The 27,210-nt window shown below is 40.4% G+C and overlaps 2 protein-coding genes across 6 annotated transcripts in view, besides 1 other annotated feature; one reads left to right on the top strand and one right to left on the bottom strand.

Moving 5' to 3' along the window:
- DHX32 (DEAH-box helicase 32 (putative)) overlaps positions 1 to 27,210 on the top strand; it is a 60,149-nt gene that overhangs the window by 17,602 nt on the left and 15,337 nt on the right. For 3 of the 5 annotated variants that reach the window (XM_047425470.1, XM_047425469.1, NM_018180.3), the window contains 5 exons: positions 11,701 to 11,894; positions 18,909 to 19,281; positions 24,681 to 24,923; positions 26,242 to 26,341; positions 26,433 to 26,591. In XM_047425470.1, the coding sequence (XP_047281426.1) occupies positions 11,701 to 11,894; positions 18,909 to 19,281; positions 24,681 to 24,923; positions 26,242 to 26,341; positions 26,433 to 26,591 (1,069 nt within the window). Of the gene's footprint in view, positions 1 to 11,700; positions 11,895 to 18,908; positions 19,282 to 24,680; positions 24,924 to 26,241; positions 26,342 to 26,432; positions 26,739 to 27,210 lie in introns of all 5 variants that reach the window. The other 2 variants (XM_047425468.1, XM_047425467.1) reach the window with 1 other exon arrangement.
- Positions 25,189 to 27,210, bottom strand: part of BCCIP (BRCA2 and CDKN1A interacting protein) — a 30,150-nt gene continuing 28,128 nt past the window's right edge. The window contains exon 8 of the mRNA NM_016567.4: positions 25,189 to 25,759. Within this exon, the coding sequence (NP_057651.1) occupies positions 25,641 to 25,759 (119 nt within the window). The 3' untranslated portion in view covers positions 25,189 to 25,640. The remainder of the gene's footprint in view (positions 25,760 to 27,210) is intronic.
- Positions 25,334 to 25,513: a silencer, noted in NCBI's record as "fragment chr10:127541940-127542119 (GRCh37/hg19 assembly coordinates)". NCBI's record gives its function as "represses an EF-1alpha promoter that drives an FKBP-Casp9 reporter gene in an ReSE screen in K562 erythroleukemia cells {active_cell/tissue: K562}" and the evidence as "EXISTENCE:reporter gene assay evidence [ECO:0000049][PMID:32094911]".

Below are 27,210 nucleotides of genomic sequence, written 5' to 3'. Positions count from 1 at the left end.
TACAAAAATTAGCTGGGCATGGTGATGCACACCTGTAGTCCCAGCTCCTTGGGAGGCTGAGGCAGGAGAATCACTTGAACCCAGGAGGTGGAGGTTGCAGTGAGCTGAGATTGTGTCACTGCACTCCAGCCTGGGTGACAGAGTAAGACTCCATCTCAAAAAAAAAAAGAAAACAAAACAAAACAAAAAAAAACACCAAGAAAAACAAGGTAGTGTAGAGAAGGAAAAAGTAATAATTTTCTCTGTCCTTCATAACTCTTATCTGAGGCTCCCTGTAACAAAAGACAAATTAACAGAAGAAAAACAGAAGTGTATTAATATGTATGCCTCATGTATACACGGGAAAACCCCAGAGAAATGAGCAAGTCTCTAGAGTAGATCTCAAAGAAAGCATTTAAATTTTGGGCTTAAATACCATCATTCTCTGAAACAAAGTAAAAAAGGTTGTGGGGAACAACCCTGTTAAGATGAGATGGCCAGGAAAAGCACCTTAAATGAAGGTGAAGTTTGTTATGAAGATGTAAGTCGATGTCTTCTTTACTTAGTCATCTCCTCCTGTTGCAGAGAGGGAGATGCCCTTATAAGCAGAGATTTCTTGTATAGGCACAAATTTATCTTTAAAAAGGTAACTTTTCAGAGCTACTCCTATGTCTACACTTTCTCAAAATGTGCAAAGGAGGCATATTTTGGGGTCACATATTCTGGTCTCCTTCAGTCATATTCTGGGGAGGTATGTCCTGAGCCCCAACATTAGATAGTTAATAAATACTTATTATTCAGTTTGTTGTTGTATTTGGACTTCAAGTTTTTGTTCAAGTGAGATCCATATTTTACTCTTAAGTTTTAAAGCAAGCAACCAGTATTTTTATCATGAAATTCATTTCTAGATTCTCGCGATGTAAGAATTAGAATAGACCATATAGTGTGAATAATAAGAAGTCCCATTTCTCATAGAGAAGTTACGAATAGATCTAGTAGAATAGACTATGCTCTAATAGAATAGAATTAGAAACTGATGGAACCCCTTCATTTTTCAGATGAATAAACTGTGGCCCAGAAGGATTTGATAATTTGTCTATCTAATGTCAGTAGCTTTCTGAATTGGAGTTAAAAGAATATTTTCTACTATAAATTGTTGCTTTCAAGTTGTTTATTATCTCTAGAGTTTACCTATTTTATTATCACTATTATTTTTTGAGACAGAGAGGCTCGTTCTGTCACCCAGGCTGGAATGCAGTGGGGCAGTCTTGGCTTACTATGACCTCCGTCTCCCGGTTCAAGCAATTCTTGTGCCTCAGCCTCTTGAGTAGCTGGGATTACAGGCATGCACCATCATGCTTGGCTTATTTTTGTATTTTTAGTAGAGTCAGGGTTTCACAATTTTGGCCAGGCTGGTCTCGAACTCCTGGGCTCAAGCGATCCTCCCACCTTCACCTCCCAAAGTGCTGGGATTACAAACATGAGCCACTGTACCTGCCCTAAAGTTAACTTACTTTAAAGGTAATTTGAAAAGAGGAGGGCTGGACAACAGATGTTTTTTATCTGATTTACAGCTGCCAGTATCAAAGGTTTATTATGATTTGTTCTTTGTTACGCTGTTATTGTTATAACAAACGATTTCAGTTCATTACGAGAAGCTAACGATGAGAACTGACTGAGTATAATTTTCCTAGTTTCTGTGGACAAATAACATTGAAAAAATGTGTTTTTATTTTACAATAATTTCAAACTTACAAAAAGTTGCAAAAATAGTACAAAGATTTTCCATATGTTGTTCACCCAGATTCCCCAAATGTAAGATTTTACCATATAAACTTTATCTTTCCCTCCCTGCCCCCTCCATACATTCATACACATTTTTATTCTGAACCATTTAGGGGTAGGTTGAGGACATGATGCCCTTTGCCTCCAAATACTTAACAGAGTATTTATTTACTGAAAAACAGTGTGTAGCCGTAACATAATTATCAAAATCTGGAATGTAATGTTGATATCTAATTATTATCTGATTTCTAGACATTCACATTTAATCAGTTTCCCATTGATAGCCTTTATAATCACTGAAAAAAATTGTTTTTCTGGTCCAAAATCCAATCTAAAATTGCATTGTATTTTATTGTCGTTTTTTAATCTGACACAACTCCCCAGTCTCTCCCTGTCCTTTATGACTTTGACATTTTTGAAGAGCACAGGTTATATATTCTGCAGAACCTCCCTCAGTTTGAACATGTCTGATGTTTCCTTAGGGTTAGGTTCCGGCTCTGCATTTGTGGCAAGAAGATCACACAAGTGCTGTGTATCCTTCTCAGTGCCTCATATCAGGAGGCACAAGATGTCAGTTTTGCCCATGCTGGTGATGTTAATTCTGATCCCTTGGTAAGGTGGTATCTGCCTGGTTCTTTATTGAAAAGTTAACAATTTCCCTCCAATCATTTAATAGATACATATTTTGAAAGTATGTAAATGTTTCTCATTATACATTTGTAACCACCCAATGGGTTCATCTTGTTTGTTGTCAAGATAGAGCCAATTTATCAAGACAAGGGAATTGAAATAGAGAATGAATTTAATACACATAAAGCTGGCTAAACAGCAGACAGGAGTTGTACTATTACTCCAATCAGCCTCTTTGTCAATTTGGAGGCTAGAGTTTTTCAAGGATAGTTTGGTGGGCAGGGGGCTAAGGAATGGGTACTGCTGATTGGCTGAGGATGCAATCACAGAGGTGTGGAAAACAGTCCTCATGTGCTGAGTCCACTTCTGGGTAGGGACAACAGAGGAGTTACTGGTCTATCCAGTTATAGGGCCTCCAGTTGTCAGAAATACAAAAACCTGAAAAGACATCTCAGAAGGCCAATCTTAGGTTCTATAATAGTGATGTTATTTACAGGGAGGTTACAAATCTTGTGACCTCTGGAATAATGACTGGTAATCATTTAACTACACCTACATCTTGGCAGAATTCAGGCCCCTCTCATCCTCCTAACCTGGTGTCCTTTCATTAGTTTTACAAAGGCAGTTTCATTTTGCTGTCATCATTTAAACTATAAACTATCTACAAAAGTTAGCTTGGCCCACTGCAGGAATGGCTAAGGGAGTTTGGGGGTGAAAGGCAAGATGGAGTTGTCAGGTCAGATCTCCTTCACCATCATAATTTTCTCACTGTTACAATTTCTGCAAAGGCAGTTTCACATTCATCCACTAGTGTTAGCATTTTTGGTGATTCTTACCTTTGAATTATTACATTAGTAGTAACCAAAGATGATTATTCTAATTCTGACATGCCTTCTACACATTATTTAGAATCTTTCTGTAAGTCTGAGCTTTCTCTCCTTCATCATTTATTTATGTCAATGTGGACTCATAAATTCTTATTTTATTCTATGGGTTATAATGTATTACTAAGCCTACTTACTTTGTTGTTCAAATTGCCCCCAATGTGGCTTCTCTGTCCTTTTGACATTTCCCCATTATTGAGCACTTCTTTGCTTTCTGGCTCAGTAAGATGTTCCAGGTTCATCTAGTACATTCCGCATGCCGGTGTAGAAACCATTTTTTTTTTCTCCAGGAGTCCTTGTTCCGTTTAGTGGTGAACTGTGTTTTGAAACCAAGATCTGGACACTAAGTACCTATTACCATTGGTTTATCATTGCAATTTTTTTTTTGAGACAGTGTTTCATTCTGTCACCCAGGCTGGAGTGCAGTGGCATGATCACGGCTCACTGCAACCTCAACATCCTGGGCTCAAGTGATCCTCCCACCTCAGCCTTTAGAGTAGCTGGGACTACAAGTGTGTGCCACTACACTCAACTAATTTTTGTATTTTTTATAGAGACGGGGTTTTGTCATGTTGCCCAGGTTGGTCTCGGACTCCTGGGCTCAAGCAACCTACCTGCCTTGGCCTCCCAAAGTGCTGGGATTATAGGCCCACTTCACCCGGCCTATCATTGCTTTTAGGCCATCTCAGTGGACACAACAAGGAAATAAATGTATGTGAGTGCAATATACACACGTCTCATTCTATCCATCTATTTGTGGCTCTGTTTCTCTCTGTCTTTCTCTATTTTTATGTATTTCTATTTTCTTACCTCTCATATTTTTTATCTCTCTTTCTATATCTTAAAAACCATGAGTTTGTACTGATGCCTCTGATTCCAGTTTAGCACTACAGGGTTTATTCTAGCCTTCCCAGTTTTCATATCCATAACTTCTCTATGAGAAACAGGGCTTCGTGTTATTCACACTATCTTTACCTGTTCTCAGATTGAACAAGTAAAGATACTCAAAAGAACAATTCATATTGTAGTTTCAGAATTGCTAATCCACACTGCAGTTTAAAAAATTTTTTTAATCTACTTCTTGAGTTTTAGAATTTATCATCTTCAAGAGCAAGAATTGTTATATGTTATATGTTATATTAATACCTAGCAATGGTTTCTCTTGTCATTTTTAATTTCTCAATTATTTCAATGAATTAGGCTTATTTTCTGTTAATTGGGACGACATGTATCTTCAAAGTGAGAAAAATCAAAATGGTACTCAAATAAGAAAATGGATCTATCCTAAACTAATTTAGATAGTGGGAGCATTGGTTGGTTTCTTTTGGAAACAACTTGGTTTTTGTTGTTGTTGTTTTAAGAGTTTGCGAGACTGTTTTCTTGTTCTTCAGAGTTTTAAACCTTTCAAGAAAAAAGTCTTTCTTCAGAGCCAAGCTTTACAAAGGTCCTAAAGATTTCACCTGTCTTTGGTGCAGAAACAGAGGACAATTTCCCATATGTTTATAGAATCTTTTCTTATTACATTTTTTGCAGACAGGTTATGAACGATCCTAAAAGAGAGAGAAAAACATCTCTAGAAGTGTATATTTTGCTTATTTCTCCTTCTCTAGTTTTTGTCCTGAAATTTCCCATGAATGGATGGGTCAGTGAGGTGAAAAAGATATGAAAAGATATGAAAAAGAATTAACTTAGATTCTAAAAGATGTATGACTTAGAACATCTGTACTTCTATTGACTGAGTAAACTTGTTCACCATTTTCTGCTGGTAGGTTCTACCTGTATTCACTCAAAACCAAGATGTATGTGAATTGTTATCCAGGGATGTGTGATATTTGATTCAGAAGGGACCTCACTCCTCAGTAATGGATTCTGATATATTGGCTCACTTTGGGTGGGATAGCTGCCTTAGGGGCATACTCAGGCTAGGCATTTTACAGGAATGTTGTTGAAACCATTAAGACTTGCAAACTTAAAAACCATGAGCTTGTGCTGATGAATTCAACACTGAATGTGTTGAATTCACCTTTGGGTGAATTGGTGGTTCTTTAGATTCCTTTAAACTTGTAGATTCTGTTTTTCTGGTACTGAAATTAAAGGGAGTGATTGGGACCTTGGCAGTAGCTTCAGGATTGGTGGTCCTAGAGACATTAAGAGAAGAAAGCAGAAGAGGACTCAGGCCCTGATGGACGTCCTGATGATCAAAAGTGAGGGATTAGAGGCCTTTGGGACTAGTATGTGTCTAACAGAACAGTAATAGCATTGTGTCTCATGGAGGTCCTTTTTTTCTCACTTCATTTATTCTCATTTAACTATATTAAATTATAGTTAACTAACTTTATTATCCATTAGATGAGGTGAAACAATCACTGGCAGTAGATGGAAAGGACAGAAAGTTCTACACCAGTGTAGCTCATGTGGAGGTCCTCTTGCCACAGTGGCAGTGATGAGACCATACACGGATACGTGATGCCGCTGCTGCTCCCTTGATTCTGATCTGGATCTGGTTGCAGATTCTTATAGGAGATCTCCCTGCAGCCCACCCTAAAGACCCCAGGCCCCAGCTCTCCCACTACCCAGCAGCCCAACCTCTGTGTGCTGCCCGGAGTTGGGAATGGAGCATCTTTGCCTCACTGTCTGAATTTGTACAAGTTGTAGAACTGCAGTTGCTAACTTAGGTTGATAAAGCCTTGATTTAGATTAGATTTTGATTACCCGGAGGACTCCTCTTACCTACTCTCATAGCAGCAGATTGGCCAGAGTGTTGGTGATTTCCTTTCAGGTAGGCGGTAAGAGGCCAGGGATGCACATTCTCATGCCTCGATTGCTTACCTTGCATGCCCCAGAGTCAGTTCCAGCTGGGCTTTGGGACAGAGCATAGGGCAGGCCCCACTGCTCTGGCTTTATGCAAATGGCACATCAGAAGTACAGAAAACTGAATTTAGAAAATGGATTGAGAAACATGAAAAAAGTATTTGGTGAGTTCAGAATAAAGAGATGTGAAGTATTGATTTCTAGTTAGGGAGCATTTCCAGACCAAATGCGTAAATCCAAGGGTTGCACATCACCAAACTCCCAGGATAAATCACATGAAAATAGCTTTTTTTATGTGTTAGAGGAGCAATTTTCTGTTTCTTCACCATATTGTGCAACTTTTGCTAAGTACTCAGTCACAAAGTGACCCAGAATTCAATGTTTCTCTGAAAAAAGTTAAAGCCAAATGATTCATAGAAAGGTACAACTATTTAAGCTTTTCTAATTCCCATAGTGCCAACTTGGCAACTAGTCCATCCAGAATAATGTTTTTTAATACTAGGGGGGAATATCTTCCAAAGAGGAACTATGGGGTAGAAACAAAACCTCTAACAGGCTTGTAAGTCATTGGTGAGAAGACAAAGATGCAACTGGGACAATGAAAAAGTTGCTAAGTAGTACCCAGAAAAGTTAGGCCAGGTGTTGTGGCTCACACCTGTAATCCCAGCACTTTGGGAGGCCGAGGCGGGCGGATCACCTGAGGTTGGGAATTGGAGACCAGCCTGACCAGCATGGAGAAACCTCGTCTCTACTAAAAATACAAAATTAGCCAGGTGTGCTGGTGCGTGCCTGTAATCCCAGCTACTTGGGACGCTGAGGCAGGAGAATTGCTTGAACCCGGGAGGCGGAGGTTGCAGTGAGCCAAGATCCTGCCATTGCACTCCAGCCTGGGCAACAAGAGTGAGACTCCATCTCAAAAAAAAAAAAAAAAAGAAAAGAAGCAGAACTAGGGGAAGAAAGGTCAATACCAACAAGAGATACAATATTTACTATAAATGCAGAGAAGGCAAGAGTTCTTTGTAAAGCTGCAATCTCAGTATCCCTTGAAATGTGAAATACTCAAATTATCGACATTTGCCAAATGATAACATTTTTTAGCCAGTAATTCAAGTTTGCTAAGGAATCAACCCTCAGTATGTTACTTAGCTTGCCCAGAGTGATTCAGAAGGCATGTAAAACTGGAGAACTCTAACAAATAAGGCAGATGGTTTCATGTTTCCCTCTTTTCTGGCTGGAGATAACCTTTTCAGTTTGTGTTTGCATTGCTTACTGTTAACTATCTCCAAGTAGCTGTTACTGGAAGGGGAGCTGCATCCTATGTGGTCAGAGCCACAGTTGAGTACGTGCAGTATAATTTGTTGTGACTTCTGCTCAACTATTAACTTGGGCACGTAAGCAAACATTCCTACATTAAGCACGATATGGATATGTTCAGTCTTCTACTGGTTATTGTAACTGATATTTAGATGGCCTTTTCCCATTTCTGAATTAATGTCTTTGCCTCATAGGTGAAATAGTTTGCTCTAATGTAGAGGAAGGCAGAAAAGGAAAATGAAGACTGTTGGATTGGTATATTTGTTGTACTTCCAGGAATGTATAATGTTTATACTATTATCAACACACTGTAATAAACTAATCTTGCAGAATGTGTTTCATGAGCAAAGAGAAATAAATTAAATGCAGTTTTTAAAAAAGGCCCAAATCAGAAGCTTGAGAACATGGCTCATGATCATTGGAATCTTGTCGAATTTTAGAGTTCGAAAGCAGCTGTCCTGGACCTTATATGAATAACCAGGCTGAACGTGTCCAAATGTTTTAATAAAACTGGATAGTATTATTTCAGCAACGATTCTAGCTATGTAAAGCAGTGCCCACTGTCATCATAGTACTGTCCCCCTGATGTTGCCATTAGGCTAGAAAGAGTAGTTTATTTATTTATTTTTATTTTTTATTTTTTTGAGACAGAGTCTCGCTCTGTTGCCCAGGCTGGAGTGCAGTGGTGTGATCTCAGCTCACTGCAACCTGCGCCTCCCGGGTTCAAGTGATTTTCCTGCCTCAGCCTCCCGAGTAGCTGGGATTACAGGCACCCACCACCACGCCTGGCTAATTTTTGTATTTTTAATAGAGATGGGGTTTCGTCACGTTGGCCAGGTTAGCCTCAAACTCCTGACCTCTCAAATAATCCACCCGCCTTGGCCTCCCAAAGTGCTGAGATTACAGATGTGAGCCACCGCACCCAGCCTAGAAAGAGTAATTTAAAATGCTGATTGCCTGAGAATTTCATGGCTTCAGTTGCCACCTTTCTATAAAGATGCTTAGAAGCAACTGTGATGTAGTGGCAATTATACTCGCCAAGAAACTAGAAGATATGGATTGGTTCTGGTCATGCTGTTTACTGGCAGTATGACCTTGGACAAGTCACGCCTCTAAGTTTCTTTCCTCATGCATCAAATGAGGGTGTTGGCCTTCATGTCTTCCAGAGATTTCTTTCAGTACTGAAATTCTGCAACTACCATGCCTATCTCTAGCTCTGACCTCTCCCTTAGCCTCCTGCCTTGCTTTTCCGTTGATCCCAGGATGGTTATGCCTGGATGTTCTTCTGATAACATTGACCATCTTCCTGACTATCCTGAAGGTCATCTTCCTACCCTCCTAACTCCTGATTCCCCCCAAAAGAACTTTATGCTGCTCTTTAGCTTCATTCATTTATTTTATTTTACTTTCCAATTTCCTGTTCTTGTCAATTATATAATTAGTATTTTAAGTTAGAAATCATAGAATATTTGTCTTCTTCCTATGCATAATTAGTCTGTTAGTGGGCACTGCTTATTCTTCCTTTGCAGTAATTTTCCCGTGGTTTTATTACCTCTCTCCCATGCTTAGCACTAAGCCCAAGCCTTTCTCTCTCTTCTTTTCAATTATTATGATGTCCTTATCCATCTTTCCACTCAACTCTTATCCCTACCATATGTCAGATCCTCTGTTCGGTATTGGGAACAAATGCAAACCACACGTGTAGCTTAAGGATCTTCCCACATAGTGGAGAGACAGAGAATCATATTCAAACAAGGGTTTTGGCTGGGCACAGGGGCTCACATCTGTAATCCCAACACTTTGGGAAGCTGAGGCAAAAGGATCACTTGAGCCCAGGCAATTGAGACCAGCCTGGGCAACAGAGCGAGACCCTGTCTCTACTAAAGAAATTTTTTTTTTTTTTTTGAGACAGAGTCTCACTCTGTCGCCCAGGCTGGAGTACAGTGGTGCCAGCTCAGCTCACTGCAACCTCTGCCTGCCAGGTTTAAGCGATTCTCCTGCCTCAGCCTCCTGAGTAGCTGGGACTATAGGCGTACGCCACCACACCCAGCTAATTTTTGTATTTTCAGTAGAGACAGGGTTTCCCCATGTTGACCAGGCTGGTTTTGAACTCCTGACCTCAGGTGATCCACCTGCCTTGGCCTCCCAAATTGCTAGGATTACAGGCATGAGCCACCATGCCTGGCCTAAAGAAAATTTTTTAAAAACAAGTAGTTTTAATATAGCTTTTCACATGAATGATGTTTGAGGTCTTGGCTAGGGACCCTAGATAGTGGACCCTGACATGAAGGCAATCCATTTAAAAGTAAGAATTTGGCAAGAATAAAAAATTACTTGCTAAGGAATAAAGGAGGCAAAATTTTATGTAAATTCTTAAACGATGTAGAATCTTAAACTATGTAGAATCACAGAATTTTAAATTATTTCTAGACAGTATAAGAAATTATTCATTCAATGAATAATTACTGAGTACTAGGATAATTTGGTGACCAACACGGATAGGTCTCTGCTTTTAGAGCTCATTTGAGGGGCCGTTAGGTAGTGGGGAACTAGGAACAAACAGCAACCTCAGGAAGGTGATGGCTGCCACGGTGGGAAGCACACCGTGGATCTAGATACCTAGGGGATCACAGCAAGCCTTGTGGAGAAAACGACACCAGAGTTCAAACTTGAAGGATAATTCTCATTCATTCAGTCTATTCATTTTACAGGTAAGAATTAACTAAAGCTTAGAAAATTTGTGGTTTACATGGAACAAATTAATGGCAAGCCAATCCCTTAGGTGGCTTGTTATTCCTGGATCTTGCCTTGATTCCACGTTTCCTGAGCGCAGTATCTTAAAATTTCATCTTTCATAGAACAAAGTAAGCGTTGAGTAAATAATTACTGATAACTTGCAACCTGTTGACAAGGCTGACACCTATCTGAAAGTGCAGGAAGTGCATTTGCCTTTCAGTCCTTAGGAATTTACAGTCTACAGCAGTCATTCATTTTGGAGTTACTTGTATTTCTGGTGAGTTATGTTTATTTTTCAAATTACAGTGAGAATTCAGATCTAAGAATTTCATAATGAATCTCATAAATAGCAGACCTCAAGATAATTAGAAATTTTACAACGTTTAAATTCCTTAGATCAATTAAAAACACTCTTGGAATAATTTATTTTTAAAATGCATGTAACAATGCATAATTTACTGACAATGCCTTAAGATTGTAGCATACAAATGAATTCAGTACATTCTACTATAATAATTCTTGTACAAATGAATGTGATAAACATCAGTTGGTCCATAATATATTTTAGAAAAAAAAGGATTTTTAAAATAAAATGGCTCTAGAGTAGCTTTGCTTAGAACTGACTCCAAATCCAGATGGGTTGGTTGATTATCTCACTGGGTTTATTTAGATGGGTTTATTTATTTAATTATATTTAGATTGTAAATTACCAGGATATTTTAGCTTTTATTATCAGAGAAATGTTAAGTAGGCTTATCTGGATATTTGTTATCATCATTTGGATTTAAATATAAATGCTTTAATTTTGAGTCACTAGTTTTTATCTAAATGCTATCTATAATTTACATTGCTTAAAACACAATAGCTGATAACAGAAGCCATATTTTTGATGGGCCTTCTAATCAAAAAGAAAATAATCTCTAAATACATTAGTCTTTTCAGAAACACAGTTGAGGTTGAAAGTATTTTTTTTTTCATTTTTGTCCTTGATTTTTTTTTTTTTTTTTTTGAGACGGAGTCTTGCTCTGTCGCCCAGGCTGGCGTGCAGTGGCACAATCTCTGCTCACTGCAAGCTCCGCCTCCCGGGTTCACGCCATTCTCCTGCCTCAGCCTCCCAAGTAGCTGAGACTACAGGCGCCCGCCACCACGCCTAGCTAATTTTTTGTATTTTAAGTAGAGACGGGGTTTCACCATGTTAGCCAGGATGGTCTCGATCTCCTGACTTCGTGATCCGCCCACCTCGGCCTCCCAAAGTGCTGGGATTACAGGCGTGAGCCACCACACCCGGCCTGTCCTTGATTTTTATCTGCCTTTTTTTGTCTGGCAGTCAAACTTTCACAGTCCCTGTTAACTCCTGTTTCTTCTTAACTTTATTTCCTAGCAGTAACTCTGTGCATAATCCATATTGTTCAGAGTTTCACTAAGTAAGATGTAATACAGCCCACTGCTGATTTACTGATGAAAGAAAATCACTTATAAGATGAACCCTGCTGTAAGACAGAGATGTCTCTTGTTTTGTTTTCAGCAGAAGCTGATCCTGTCTCATTTTTTCCTGCTACAGGTTCCTCAGTGGTGTGCTGAATATTGTCTTTCCATCCACTACCAGCACGGGGGCGTGATATGCACACAGGTCCACAAGCAGACTGTGGTCCAGCTCGCCCTGCGGGTGGCGGATGAAATGGATGTTAACATTGGTCATGAGGTTGGCTACGTGATCCCTTTCGAGAACTGCTGTACCAACGAAACAATCCTGAGGTTGGTTTGTGGGGTTCAGTCCGCTCCCTGCTGATGATTCTTGGCTTAGGTTCTACAATTCTGAAGGAGCATTATTCTGGCATTCTACCTGTTAAGCATCTATGCTGTGCAGTAGCAACTGGTCTCTGTCATCAGCCAGCCAGCAACAGTTGCTTTCCCACACTGGCATCATCTGGGATTCCTTGTCTAAATGTATCCCATGACTCCCATTATCCCCTGGAAAAAGTTAACAACTTGCTTGGCCCCTCAGAACCTTCAAGCGTGTGCTTCTGGAGCTATGCCTCATGCAGGGTCCACATCATTGCCTGTGTGCAAGCCACATGGACACCTGGAGCACACTGTGTGCCCTGTGCTTTCCACACCCTGTGCCTGTACACCTGCCCCTCCCTGTGCTCAGCATGTCCGGGCCCGGCTAGTTCCTCCTAGTCACTCAGTATGCAGTGTAGCAGCCACCTACTCCAGGAAGGCTTCCCTGCCCCTCCAGTAATACACATTAGAAAACCCTCTGTGGGGCTTCTGGAAAACTTGGTGTCAGCCTGCATCATAGCAGCTTCGACAGTGTTTCTCAAACTGTGCTTTGCAGAGTCTTCTATGTTCCAAGGAGACTTCTCTGTGGCTACCGCAAGTTGTGGTATCTCTTCTGTGCTTAGCTTCATTATGAGATTTCCTTTGAAGAAGGATTTCCAAGAGCTTGAAAGAAGAAAAAAAAGGAAAAAGAAACTGGAAAAATCACTGCTCTGGGCTAGTGCTTCTCAAGCACCTTTATATTACAGCCATCATAGAAAGTGATAGTATCCATACAGTACCGCAAGGAAATGGTCACAGCTGCCTGGAGCCAGAGTTGACCATCCCACGGGCTTCAGCTGCCCCGGGCACTGCCCGACCACTCCAAGAGCCAAGTAGCTAAGTATCTCGGGGTCAGTATTTCTGCACCTCTCTAACCCATTTGTGTGGCATACAGTGTGCCACGCACAGCATTGGGGAAGCTCTGCTTTTCTGTAACAGGGCAGGGATGGTTTTTCACGTGCTCATATCCCTAGTGTCTCATGTGCTCATCCCCAGGAGGATGTTCGGTAAACTGGATAGTGGAAGGGATTTTGCCCTGTCCCAGCTAGCACTGCACTCTGGTGCGGTTCTTATCTCCATTCAGAAAACCCATGGGGCTGGGCACAGTGGCTAATGCCCATAATCCCAGCACTTTGGGAGGGCGAGGCAGGAGGATTGCTTGAGCTCTGGAGTTTGAGACCAGACTAGGCAACACAGTGAGATCTCATCTCTACAAAAAATACAAAAATTAGTGAGCGTGATGGTGCATGCCTATAGTCCCAGCTACTCAGGAGGCTGAAGCGGAAAGATCACTTGAGTCCAGGAAATCGAGGCTGCAGTGAGCTGTGATCGCGCCACTGCACTCCTGCCTGGGTGACAGAGTGAGACCCTGTCCCAGAAAAAAAGAAAGCCCATGGGGCTCATTCGGTTTGTACTAAGCTACTTTCCCTCAAACGTTTATCTTCAAAAGTAGAAGACAGTCTTCAGGCTAGTGTCAAATCATAGGGGAAAGTCTTTAGACCATCAGCACTCTGACTTGAACTTCTTGAAGATATATTACCTTCTGTTATTATAACAATTATGTCCCTGAGTCATTAAATTACTATGTATTTATAAATTGCTGATTGTGTAAATTGTACGTGAGTGGTACAAAAGAAACATAAAAACCTCTCTGGTTCTTAGGAGCTCACAAACTAGTTAAAGAGCTGGACAGGACAAGACATAGGACCCTGAAAGGGTGAAGGATCCCTAAGCAGATTTGTGGTTGGTTGGTTGGTTTGACATTTTAAAGTAGCCCTTTGAATTATGTTTTTAATTAAATGATGGCTCTGACTAGGTTCTGAAGTTAATATTATATCTTTAATACCATCTAGACTTTGAAAACCCTTTAAAAGGATTCTTTAATGTAGTCATTTTTAAAATGAGATATTATAAGAGCTTTGTCATGATATGGAATCAGATATTTCTTTTTCTTTCTTTTTTTTTTTTTTTTTTTTTTTTTTTTTTTTTTTTTTGAGACAGAGTCCCACTCTGTCTCCCAGGCTGGAGTGAAGTGGCACGATCTCAGCTCACTTCAACCTCCATCTTCCGGGTTCAAGCGATTATCGTGCCTCAGCCTCCTAAGTAGCTGGGACTACAGGCATGCACCATCACACTTGGCTAACTTTTTGTATTTTTAGTAGAGACGGGGTTTCGCCATGTTGCCTGGGCTGGTCTCAAACTCCTTAGCTGAGGCAGTTTGCTGGCCTCGGCCTTTGAAAGTGCTGGTATTACAGGCGTGAGCTACCGCACCCAGCCTAAGATACTTCTTAATATGGAAAGCCACAAAGACAAATAATGGTGGGGAAATCTAATAATACTGTTAGACACGCCTCACCTTTTAAACATCTATCACATGTTAGGCTTAGGATTGTTTTATGGTAAAAACCCAAGCATTCAATTCTGACACCCAAAGGAAATACTATATATTAAAGTATGTATTAGTTTCAATCTGTGTATGGCATTCCTTTCTTAACAGGGACAGTTGCTTCAGGTGTGGTGGGCTGAGGTACAAAGGCACCCATGGAGACAGGTGGAGAGTAGCTTCCTGCTTTGACAGGTTTTGCAGGTTGTTTCTTTCTGCCCTTGCTGGGCTGCCTTATTCTTCATTGCTTTCATATCTTCACTTCACAGTTACTCTTGCTTCTGAACATTGTACTTTCTTTTCCACTGTGACATGCCCCCAGAACCAGCGCAGAGTCAGAAGATACTCTGATGCATTGTGGTAAACAGTGTTTGAGTCACAGGAAAGAGGCCAGAGCTATTGAAAAGACCCCTATGATAAAATAAAGCAACACCTGTTTTCTTCCTGGTATTCCATGCTCTGGAGAGGAGGCAACATGGCTGTCAAAGGGTGTCTCCACCACTTACTCACTTGTAACCTTATAGAAGTCACCTAACCTCTTTGACCTTTAAGTTGCCTCATCTGAAAAATGTGGACGATTAATATACTTGCTCTGAGGGTTGTTGTGAGGACTATTAAATTTATGTAACTGATGCATGGTGTATGTATGTGGTAGCTATGTTTATAATTATATTTTTATAATTATGATTAGAACAAGATTGATTTTCCTGAAGAGGTATGCTAGCCATAATTTTGAATAAGCTCAGATTGAATAGCTATTTAAATCAGAGGATTTAACATTGATCATTGATTGGCCGGGCACGGTGGCTCACGCCTGTAATCCCAGCACTTTGGGAAGCCAAGGCGGGCAGATCCCAAGGTCAGGAGATCGGGACCATCCTGGCTAACATGGTGAAACCCCGTCTCTACTAAAAATACAAAAAAAATTAGCTGGGAGTGGTGGCAGGTGCCTATAGTCCCAGCTGCTCAGGAGGCTGAGGCAGGAGAATGGCGTGAACCCAGGAGGCAGAGCTTGCAGTGAGCCGAGATCATGCCACTGCACTCCAGACTGGGCAACAGAGTGAGACTCCATCTCAAAAAAAAAAAAAAATTGATCATTGATTATAGAAGGCAGTAGTCTATATTTGATACTGTCTTTTTCATTTTTTTGGTAGCCCCTTAGTATCTATCAAACACATCATAGGCAATTAGTAAACTGTCTTTAAGCCTACTACTATTTTTTGGATGCTATATGTAACAACTTTGTTCTTCTTTAAGCTTTTCTCTGGCCTTTTTTGAAACAGTGAATACCTGAATATTATATACCTAAAATAGTCTTTAGGAACTACATATCAAGATATCTCATAGAAGTGACTCATAGTGTCAAATGGTGGTCTTTTCTGTTTTTAGAACTGGAAAATTCTCAAATTTTCATTAAGGTTAAACTCAATTATATAATTTTATAAAATATAAATATTAATAAAACTTTATTTTATTATAGTCTTAGCTTTTAGAAATTTAGCCTTAATTTAAAGATATAAACTGCATTTCCTGAAACCTTGGTAGTGTATCTATTTTTTTTACGTACTTATTAGTTAACAGCACTTTTTAAAGTATCATACACACAATATCTCATTACCATAAAGTTCAGAAACATATCTTTGTGTTATATAGAAAAAAAGTAGTTTTTTTTTTTGCTTTGTTTTGAGTTGGAGCCTTGCTCACATTGCACAGACTGGGATGCAGTTGTGGGATCATAGCTCACTGTAATGTGGGACTCCTCCTGGGCTGGAGTGATCTCCCACCTCAGCCTCCCAAGTAGGTGGGACTGCAGAAAAATGTGGGTTTGTATAGTAAGTTTTAGGATTGAGCCTTCACAATTCCCTTATATAATCATCTGTAAGGCTAGGCCTTGCTGGATGAGTCTGCTGGAGTTTTTAATAAGTTAGCATCTTCTCTTTTTTTTAATTAAGCCTAGATGTATTTACATAACACATAAACCTCCTCAATCTTATGGGGCAGCATTACTTCCTATAAGATCAGTGCTTAGGTGAGTTTTGCTGAAAAGGAAACAGAGATAACATTAGAAATTAAATCTCTAATTAGCCTCAGCAAAAAAAAAAAAATTGAAAACTAGATTTCAATGCATCTGTTGGCATCTTGCACAAAGTATAATACTATAGTATTCAAGATGCTTTATTTTCTAAGTTTGAGGAAAGGAATCATCAATTTATCACTGCTCATTTGAAAGACACAGGATGAGAACCTGTATGAAAAGAAAGGCAGAGGGCATACACTTTGATCTCATAAAGATCCAGAGAGGAAGAACATGGACTTTTATCACCAAAACTACAAGGCCAAGGAAGCAATCGTTATAATTTGACAGTGACAACAGATAGAACAACTATCTGGGTTTAAATCTTGACTCTCTACCTGGCTTTGTGACCTTGGGCAGGGTACTGAATTTTTCTGACCTTCAGTTTTCTCATTTATAAATGAGTCATAGTAATGGGATAGCAATATCTACTTTGAAGATTTATTCTGAAGATTAAATGAGAAACATATACACCAGCTTAGTGACTGGCTCACACTAGGTGCTTAATAGATGTTTGTTTACTTCCTTTTTTTTTTTTTCCTTGAAAGAGGTTAATTGAGGACTGTGTCAAGATCCCCAAGACTACCCCCGGGTTCAGTGATTTGCTAGAAAGGTTCATGGGATTCAGCATATTATTTACATATAACTAAGGTTTATTGCATTGAAAAGATACAAAGCAACATCAGCAAAGGGAAATAGTGGATGGGACGAAGTTTACAGGAACCCAGGCGCAAGCTCACGAGCTCTCGCCCAGTGAAGTCACAAACCGTGCACTTCATTCACAGCTCGTGAAATGGTGCCCTACCAGGGAAACTCAGGCTCAGTGCCCAGGGTTTTTATTGAGGGCTGGCCGTAGAGGCACCCTCTGCCTAGTATGTTTCAAAATTCCAGACTCCCAGAAGGAAAGCACATGTGCAGCGTAAAACATATTGCCTGTACAAATGGTTCAGGCACAGCAAACTACTCTTTTCTGGGGGAGTCTCGCTCTGTCGCCCAGGCTGGAGTGCCCTGGCGCAATCTCGGCTCACTGCAAGCTCCGCCTCTCCAGTTCACGCCATTCTCCTGCCTCAGCCTCCCGGGTAGCTGGTACTACAGGCGCCCGCCACTACTCCCGGCTAATTTTTTGTATTTTTAGTAGAGACGGGGTTTCACCGCGTTAGCCAGGATGGTCTCGATATCCTGACCTTGTGATCCGCCTGCCTCGGCCTCCCAAAGTGCTGGGATTACAGGCGGGGCAAACTACTCTTTATCAGTTCTGGGAATGGTGAGGACCCTCCCCAAATCTAAGTTCCCAAATGCTAGCCAAGGGCTAACCTTGCAGGCAGGCCTGTCGAAGGATAGCAATCTCAGAATTGCCATGTACAAGAATAAATAAAAGTAAATACCTTAAATGGGTAAAAAACATATGGGATTGGGGCCGGGCGCGGTGGCTCACGCCTGTAATCCCAGCACTTTGGGAGGCCAAGGTGGCTGGATCACAAGGTCAGGAGATCGAGACCATCCTGGCTAACACGGTGAAATCTTGTCTCTACTAAAAATACAAAAAATTAGCCAGGCGTGGTGGCGGGCGCCTGTAGTCCCAGCTACTCTGGAGGCTGAGGCAGAATGGCGTGAACCCGGGAGGCGGAGCTTGCAGTGAGCCGAGATTGCGCCACTGCACTCCAGCCTGGGCGACAGAGCGAGACTCTATCTCAAAAAAAAAAAAAAAAAAAAATGGGATTGGTTTCTTCAAGCAGTAATACAGGTAAATATGTAAATAGTGTCAGAAAGTTATTTTCATTAAGCTTAGTGACTAATAGGTGGTTATTTTAATTTTAAAAAATCATCCCAAGAAGTATGGGAAAAGCCCATTAAAATCACTAATGACCTCTCCCCACTCCAGGAATTCTAGCCAGTTTTCATGCTGCCCTTAAATAGGTGGTTACTTTTTAGATCCTTCTGTTTGCTTATTATTTGGATGACATCTTAATGATATCATCTCTCACAGTGAATCACCAATAATAGTGTCTGTCCTAACAGTGGGCTAGCAGGACCATGAGCCTGAGCCAGGATGGTTATTCTTGTATCCTTTCCTTGAAAAGTGTATAATTTTACTCAAAATTCTTTCATTGATGAATTCGAGAGGAAAAATTGACCAGGGTGTTTTATGATACTACTTTTTATGTATAAAGCTCAGAACAAAAGTTAGATGCAGGCTTTTATTAATATTTGTAATAAACATTTAGGCAGAGGTCTTTAACTTAGGGTTCAGAATGGTCTTTGTAGGGGGCAGTCCATGAACATATACAAACTGGGTATAAATCTTGTTTATCTGTGTTTTTTTGTGCTATAATTCTGTAGATTGTATCAACTTAAAGGAATTTTGGCCCCAGTAAAAATTTAGAGTTACTGATTTAGAGAAATGAATATAGGAAAGGCATTTTTCTTGTTAGGAAGTTTTTTGCATGAGTTAGCATAAGAATATTCTAACTTTAATGTTTCTTCTTTATAGGTATTGTACTGATGATATGCTGCAAAGAGAAATGATGTCCAATCCTTTTTTGGGTAGCTATGGGGTCATCATCTTAGATGATATTCATGAAAGAAGCATTGCAACTGATGTGTTACTTGGACTTCTTAAAGATGTTTTACTAGCAAGACCAGAACTGAAGCTCATAATTAACTCCTCACCTCACCTGATCAGCAAACTCAATTCTTATTATGGAAACGTGCCTGTCATAGAAGTGAAAAATAAACACCCTGTGGAGGTTGTGTACCTTAGTGAGGCTCAAAAGGATTCTTTTGAGTCTATTTTACGCCTTATCTTTGAAATTCACCACTCGGGTGAGAAAGGTGACATTGTAGTCTTTCTGGCCTGTGAACAAGTAAGTAAGTGATACTCTAACCTTACAGTAATAAGGTATTTCATTTGGGAAGCTTTTAATAACTAACATACAGGTTTCAGTTTGCTAATTAACTGTTTAAATATTTGGTTTCATCACACCTCATTAAATAAAACCTGTGCTGAAAGGAGAACAGGAAGTGTTTCTAAAATCACATGCAGTTCTGAAAACAAAATATGGGTGAGGAGTCTCTAGACATGATCTCCAGAGCCAACTTCCCTCCAGCAGGCTCAGGCCAGAGAGTGGCTGCCCCAAAGGCACAGCTGGCTCTATTTATGCTTGCTGTGAATTGTCTCTTGGTACAGTAGGTGCATGCCGACTCCCCTGACATTCTCCACTGCCTCCCTGTGAGCAGGTGTGTTTGTTGGAGATCAGGACTATTACCTAAGCACTCACCATAGAGTTAAGTAACACAACATTTCCCACAAGCAGTCCTGTGATAGTCAGTGGAGTATGGGCAGAAAATATAGCCCACCCGAAAAGGTCATCTCCCTGGACTGGGGCTCCATTCTTAAAAGATTAAAAAAAAAAAAAAAAAACAAACAAACAAACAAAAAAAAAAACCTTTAACTCAGATTTCTTTAAAACATCTCTTTAAAAGAATGACTGGAAATGTGCAATCAAGCATCATTTCCATTCTGTTACTGCTTTTAGACAGCCAAGGTACCATTTGGGGTTGCATTTTTTTTTTAAATTGCAGCTACACTGGCCCTATTTCTTTCCCCACTACTCTGTTGGCTGAATCTAAAAGCCTCCAGGATCTCCAGAATTAGACCTCTCTTCATGGAGACTAATTGCCTGGCCTTTTTTCCCTGTCTTCTCCCACAGAGAGGAGAAGCATGAGTTTTTAGACCATGACCCATATATGTAGTGGTTCTACTCATTAAACAGAAACCAAAAAGGAAATTATTTGATGTAGGCTGAGCCACAGCTGAACAGATAAGTGGCTCAGCTGTCTGTCAGAGCCTTTTCTTGAACATCCACATATTTCAGAAACACTTTCAGAAGTATTTATTCTATTTTATACTCAAAGCATAAAGGATGACAGCTCCTTCTGGCTTTGGGAACTTTAGTTTTCTTAAATGTATCTGTTTCTAGAACCTCAATATGACTGCATATTTATCATTTTTTGTATGTATATGATATACATTCTCTTGAATAGCAAATCTGCCTATTACAGTGATTTATTCTGTTATCATCTCATCCTGCATGATTCAAGATATTCAAGAAAGTCCTGAGGAAAATAATAAAATGATTACGGAGACATAGGATTTATGAAAACAGTTGGAGGTTCTCAGTGTAAACAGATGAAGCCTAAGGAAGGGAAGAATGGCAAATCTAATATATTTGAGAGTCAGAATTGCCAGGTGAAAAACAGGACGTAGGCCGGGCACTGTGGCTCACACCTGTAATGACAGCACTTTGGGAGGCTGAGGCGGGAGGATCACGTGAGGCCAGGAGGTTGAGACCAGCCTTGACAACATAGCAGGACCCTATCTCAACAAAAAAATTAAAAAATTAGCCAGGCATGGTGGCTCAGGCCTGTAGTCCCACCTACTCAGGAAGCTGAGGTGGGAGGATTGCTTGAACTAAGGAGTTTGAGGCTGCAGTGAGCTATGATTGCACCACTGCACTCCAGCCTGGGTGACAGAGCAAGACCCTGTCTCTAGAAAAAAAAAAAAAATGAAAAATTAAAAAAAAAAAACCAGGATATACATTTCTGCAAGAAAAAAATGCAATTAAGACTGATAGGATGGGTGTAATCCTTCAAGTCAGGGTAAGCAAAAATTCCTAAATGGATTTGGAAATGGATTTTGGATCTTGGAAAATAAAGCTCATAACAGAACTGAGGTGCAGATGGTCTTAGAGTACATGATTCTTATAAGTTTAATATAAACTATAATTAATTGTAGAGTGACTTTTGAACTGTCAACTTTAGAACATGCATCATTATCCAGGCTGGTAGTAGAAACTGTAAATGCCACAGGACTTGGAGAGGTATGTAATTTCCCCTGAAGGCAGGCTGGAAAGGCATTCCTATTAAGAAACCATCAGTCTTGCAGTCTTAAAGTGAGAGTGCCATGAAAGCTACCAGAGGATTTTGTAATTCTGAGCCTCTGTGACCCAGGCGGAGCACTGGACCCTCTAAAGGTGAGCTCCTCATTGTTCAGGGGCTCAACAGCCGACCTGCCCTGTGGGTGGGGCAGCAAGCCAGCCACTGACATTGGGCTGGCTTCAGCAGACTTTACCTGGGCACCAGGTTTCTTTCTCCTGCTTCAGCCTTGGATTCCACAGGTGTTATCTGGTTTTCCTTACCCCATCTACTGCCTAACAAGCAGAACACCATTCAGTATACTGATGGACTTTTCTTTTTTACTATTTTTGTCAGGATCCCTCATTAAGATTCTCATCTCTTATGGATTGGGATTTGTGTCTTGGAAAGATTTGTCTTGCACCGAAATCAGTGCTAACAGCTATTGATCATTTCCCCCCATGCTATTTGATGCTTTCTTGATTTCTATATAAAGCTTTAAAACCTACCGTAGCACTTAAATATCATGTGAAAACAAACTCAACCAGTCTAATACAAATGTATTAATTGTCATTTAAAATTTGTATTTATTTACTTAGAGACAGGACCTCACTATGTTGCCTAGGCTGGAGTGCAGTGGTGTGATCTTGGCTCAGTGTGACCTCGAACTCCTGGGCTCAAGCCATCTACCTCTTCAGCCTTCAAAGTAGCTGGGATTACAGGTGTGCACCAGTATGCCCAGCTAGTTTTTGTTTTTTGTTTTTTTTTTGGTAGAGACGGGGTCTAACTATGTTGCCCAGGCTGGTCTTGAACTCCTGGCCTCAAGCAGTTCTCCTGTCTTGGCCTCCCAAAGTGCTGGGATTATAGGCATGAGCCACTGCACCCAGCCCTGCCATTTTTTATATTAAGAAGTATGTTTTAAATTACAGAAATATTCTCAAACATTTTGGTGAAACGGCAGTGCATTTGCCTTAGGTGTGTCACATTTTCTCCAGCCACTTGCCTAGCACCACACCTGCTGTGAATTAATCTCTGTGATTCACAGGCTGCCCTGTGTCTTGGCACTTAATTGAGACTTAGAGCCCTGAATGTTTAGCGTGTTGTTTCCTATCACCTAGCTGTCTTTTAACCGGAAGACAAAATATGAAATAAGCAGAAAACATACATTGAGATTTACGATAATATGTAGCCAGATTACTGTACAGTAATAAACTATCACAAAGGTGTTTTTAGGTTGGAGGTTTTCCTGGGAAATGTTTTATGCAGTTGTGGATCTTCTTTCATTTTTGGTGAGCTAGATGTCTGCTAGATATCGTCCTTCAGTGGGTGTTGCTGTTTTCCGTAACTGTGCAGGTAGTTATAGGAAAGTTATGCGTATGTAAATAAACCACATACATTGAATAAGAATCAAGGAAATGAATAAACAAAATGTCTGAAGTACCAGATGCACATTTTTTAAAGCTTTTCTGCCCCAAATTCTGCAGATTATGGCCTTAAAGCCCTGTATCAGCTGTGCTTGAGGAGCCTAAACTATTTATCTATTTCTGTTTTGCTCTGCTTTTTCCCTTCTGAAGATTTTAAAAATTCTTTTTTATTGCCATTTGGAACAAAATTCAACATTAGAACCAACTTACAAGACAGCCAAAATAGCTCAGTGAGAGAGCATTAGACCGAAGAATTCACCTATGACTAAAAAGTTTTAGCAGCTAGAACCAAATAAAGAATTAGTGGCCATAATTATTTTTCCCACATCTTCTAGGAGAATAAAAGTAAATATTTCAGTGCAATAAAAAGTTTATCTTGGGCCAGGTGCGGTGGCTTACGCCTGTAATCCCAGCACTTTGGGAGGCCAAGGCAGGCAGATCATGAGGTCAGGAGATCGAGACCATCCTGGCTAACACGGTGAAGCCCCGTCTCTACTAAAAATACAAAAAAAATTAGCCGGCCATGGTGGTGGGCACCTGTAGTCCCAGCTACTCGGGAGGCTGAGGCAGGAGAATGGCATGAACCTGAGAGGCAGAGCTTGCAGTGAGCTGAGATCGGGCCACTGCACTCCAGCCTGGGCAACAGAGCGAGACTCCATCTCAAAAAAAAAAAAAAAAAACAGTTTATCTTGATAGGAAATTGCTCATGAATGGGCTGCTGGAATCAAATACCCCTTTCCAAATCCAGGTTAGCTGTTAAGTTGCACCAGTGAGAAGCTTGCTTGATGGACTCATCTGGGAGGAATGAATGCGTGTCCTCCTAAGGCCAAGCAGCAGCCAGGTTCAGGGGATGCAGCTCAGCTCAAGTACTCATTCTTTTCCTTTTAATTTCTTTTTTTTTTTTTTTTGAGACGGAGTCTCACTCTGTTGCCAGGCTGGAGTGCAGTGGCACGATCTCGGCTCGCTGCAACCTCTGTCTCCCGGGTTCAAGTGATTCTCCTGCCTCAGCCTTGTGAGTAGCTGGGACTACAGACGCATGCCATCATGCCCAGCTAATTTTTGTATTTTTAGTAGACAGGGTTTCACCATGTTGGCCAGGATGGTCCCAATCTCTTGACTTCATGATCCGCCCGCCTCAGCCTCCCAAAGTGCTGGGATTACAGGCGTGAGCCACCACTCCTGGCCTTCCTTTTAATTTCTAAACAATCCTTCCTTAATATGTGGAGTAAAATGAAGTAATCAGAATTATAAGAATGGAGAAAACGTTTTGTTCTCATTATTCCAATTGGCAAGTTTTCACTCATTAGGATCAACAGCCATGCTGTTTGCTTGGTAAAAAATCTGCCCCAAGTAATTCAATTATATGTGGAAAAAGGAAGTGCAAGCAAGGGACCGTACCTGTGTACCAGCTGATGTGGGACCCCCTGGAGCGGCCTCTGCCCAGCTTCCTGGGAGCCACTTAGCAGACCAGGAAACGAGCACAGCTCACCTAGTTCTCAGTGACCTGTGATACCTTGCTATTTTTCTAGATGGATCTGTCTTCCTACAAAACCCTTGAGTTAATTCAATCCCATTCTACAAATGGTATGGAAAGGAAAGAGACATAAGCTAGAGACCTAGAGAATGGAATTGAGCTGTAAAAACTATGGCAGTTGTGGGAAGTCATCTTTTTTACTTAGATTTTTAGTGAAATCTAACAAAATTAAATGGGAAAACAATATAAATTATATTTAACTTCCCCAAAGACGTTTTCTCATTTAGGTGCATCTTTACTTATTTAAAGATACATGTAGGCAGCAACACAGGGATTTCTTTCCCTGTATCTGTTACGTAGTATTGCCTAAAATTTTTTGTAATTCAGACATTTTTTTAATAGTGATGTTGTTTGCATTGTATTTTATTTTCATGGGTTTTTTTTTCTTTAGGATATTGAGAAAGTCTGTGAAACTGTCTATCAAGGATCTAACCTAAACCCAGATCTTGGAGAACTGGTGGTTGTTCCTTTGTATCCAAAAGAGAAATGTTCATTGTTCAAGCCACTCGATGAAACAGAAAAAAGATGCCAAGTTTATCAAAGAAGAGTGGTGTTAACTACTAGCTCTGGAGAGTTTTTGATCTGGAGCAACTCAGTCAGATTTGTTATCGATGTGGGTGTGGAAAGAAGAAAGGTAATTATTATTGAGTAGGCTAAACAGACTGCTGATCGTTGTCAAGCACTAGTTTCTCAGTTTCCTACCATTTTACTGATCAGGAAGTGAGGATGAACTATGTGACCTGGGGATTCGTTGAATTTGGTCATGAGTGCAAAGAAGAATTATTGCAGCCAGTAACAAAAGTCTTGATTCCATTAGCATGTTGGAGGTTTGGAAATGAATTAAATTGATTGAGCTGCCAAAGGAGAAAGTTTTGAGGGAAGACTCAACTACTAGAGCATAAAGGTGATAGTCATCTTTAATAGTATTTTTTCTTTAGCTAAGGTACTAGCAAAGCAAATTGTTTGACTCTTAAACTGATCTCTTCTTATGAACAATTTACTGGATTTTTTTGATAGCCCCTTTATCAGAGTAATTAGTATCTTACCCCAGAGAACTTACTAGAAACTTGTTTCAAGTATACTGACTTTAATTTTAGCAAATTTTGGCTTATAATTGACGATAAAATTTTCATCCTAATCATTACAAAATATTCTTTATTACTTTTAAATTAAAAATTAGAAAAAATGAAAACAAGGTATCTCAAACTCTGAAAGACACTGAGACTTCAGAAAATCCTAACATTTGAGATCTCAAACGAAACTAACAAATATTGACTAATTTACCATTACTAGGTGCCGAGATGTTTTATCCCTCCAGGAGACTATGAGCCTCCTAAATATCCCTGACTTATTATGACAGAGCAATTCCAACAGTCATGAAGGTTCCCTGGAAATCACTTAGAGTTGATCTTGATTGAATTAGTCCAGCCTTCAGAGAAACCAGGGCTGTCACTTGCCCCCGTGAACCACCTGTAAGGAAAATCATTGTTAGTGCCATACGCAGTTTCTGTATTAGCTGTTATGATTGGAACTCTCAGTATGTGTTGTAAAGGTGAGACCACCAAGATCCTGGTTGATTTGAACAAAACTATAAAGAAACATGGCACTATCAGGTGAGAACCCTTTCTCTGTGTGACATATGAGCATATGTTATCATTCACCAGTACAGTGCTTTGAGAAGTGACAGTGCTAGTATTTCAGCAGATGACACAAAGGTCTCATAGTTATTGAAGCCACAATGAAAGCAGACAACCTTTAAATCCATTTATCAAAGCACTTGCAGTTTCCATCTCAAGGCAAGTGAAACAATAATAAATATCGTGCAAAGAAAATGAGTCTGTGGCAGTGCATTTCATGGAGTAAAGTACTGCGCAGCATATTCTCTTCAGGATCAGTGAGCCTACTGAATCATGACTTATCTGACGCTAATGATGCTGTCTTTCCATTTAAAGGTGTACAACCCGAGAATAAGAGCAAACTCGCTCGTCATGCAGCCCATCAGCCAGAGCCAGGCAGAGATACGCAAGCAGATTCTTGGCTCATCTTCTTCAGGTAGTGCTGTGGACACAAATACTAAATGTTGTCAATTCTTGTATGCAGGCAACCCAGAAATATTAAAGCCATTTTTCTTGGTGTCTTTTAGGAAAATTTTTCTGCCTGTACACTGAAGAATTTGCCTCCAAAGACATGACGCCACTGAAGCCAGCAGAAATGCAGGAAGCCAACCTAACAAGCATGGTGCTTTTTATGAAGAGGATAGACATTGCGGGCCTAGGCCACTGTGACTTCATGAACAGACCAGGTAGCCTTATGCTCCCATGTCAGCCAGGCATTAGGCTGAGATTCACCTTCTCCTGCCCATTCTCTGTCCTGAGTTCACATGATGCGCAGCAATGCACACAAGCATGGAGGGGGCGTTGGTTTGGACTGAAGCATTTTCCTGCTAGAGGTAAACATTCTCTGAAGGTAATTTTTAAAACCCCACAAACCTCTAGGAAATAACTGTTCTGACACGAGAAATGTGTCTGCTGTTGGACACTGCAGCACAGGGGAACTGGGCTTAAGGAGCTGGGTAATGTGGAGTATGGAAGCGTAAGGGTGAATCAGCAGAAAGAAGAATTCTCAGCAGCTTGAATTGTCCTTTTTTCTTTTCTTTTTTTTTTTTTTTTTTTTTGAGACAGGGTCTTGCTCTGTTGCTCAAACTGGAGTACAGTGGCGTGATCATAGCTCACTGCAACCTCCACCTCACAGGCTCAAGTGATCCTCCCACCACAGCTTCCCAAATAGCTGGGACCACAGGTGCAAGCCACCACACTTATTAATGTAGATTTCCTTTGTAGATGTAGATTTCTTTTACAAAGTGACAGCTTTTCAGAGCTAGTCCTATGTCTGCAGTTTCTCAGAATAACCAGCTCAAAATA

Source organism: Homo sapiens, chromosome 10 (genome assembly GCF_000001405.40).
Source record: "Homo sapiens chromosome 10, GRCh38.p14 Primary Assembly".
NCBI classification, from domain to species: Eukaryota; Metazoa; Chordata; class Mammalia; order Primates; family Hominidae; genus Homo; species Homo sapiens.
This window is presented reverse-complemented; position numbering and strand designations above follow the sequence as displayed.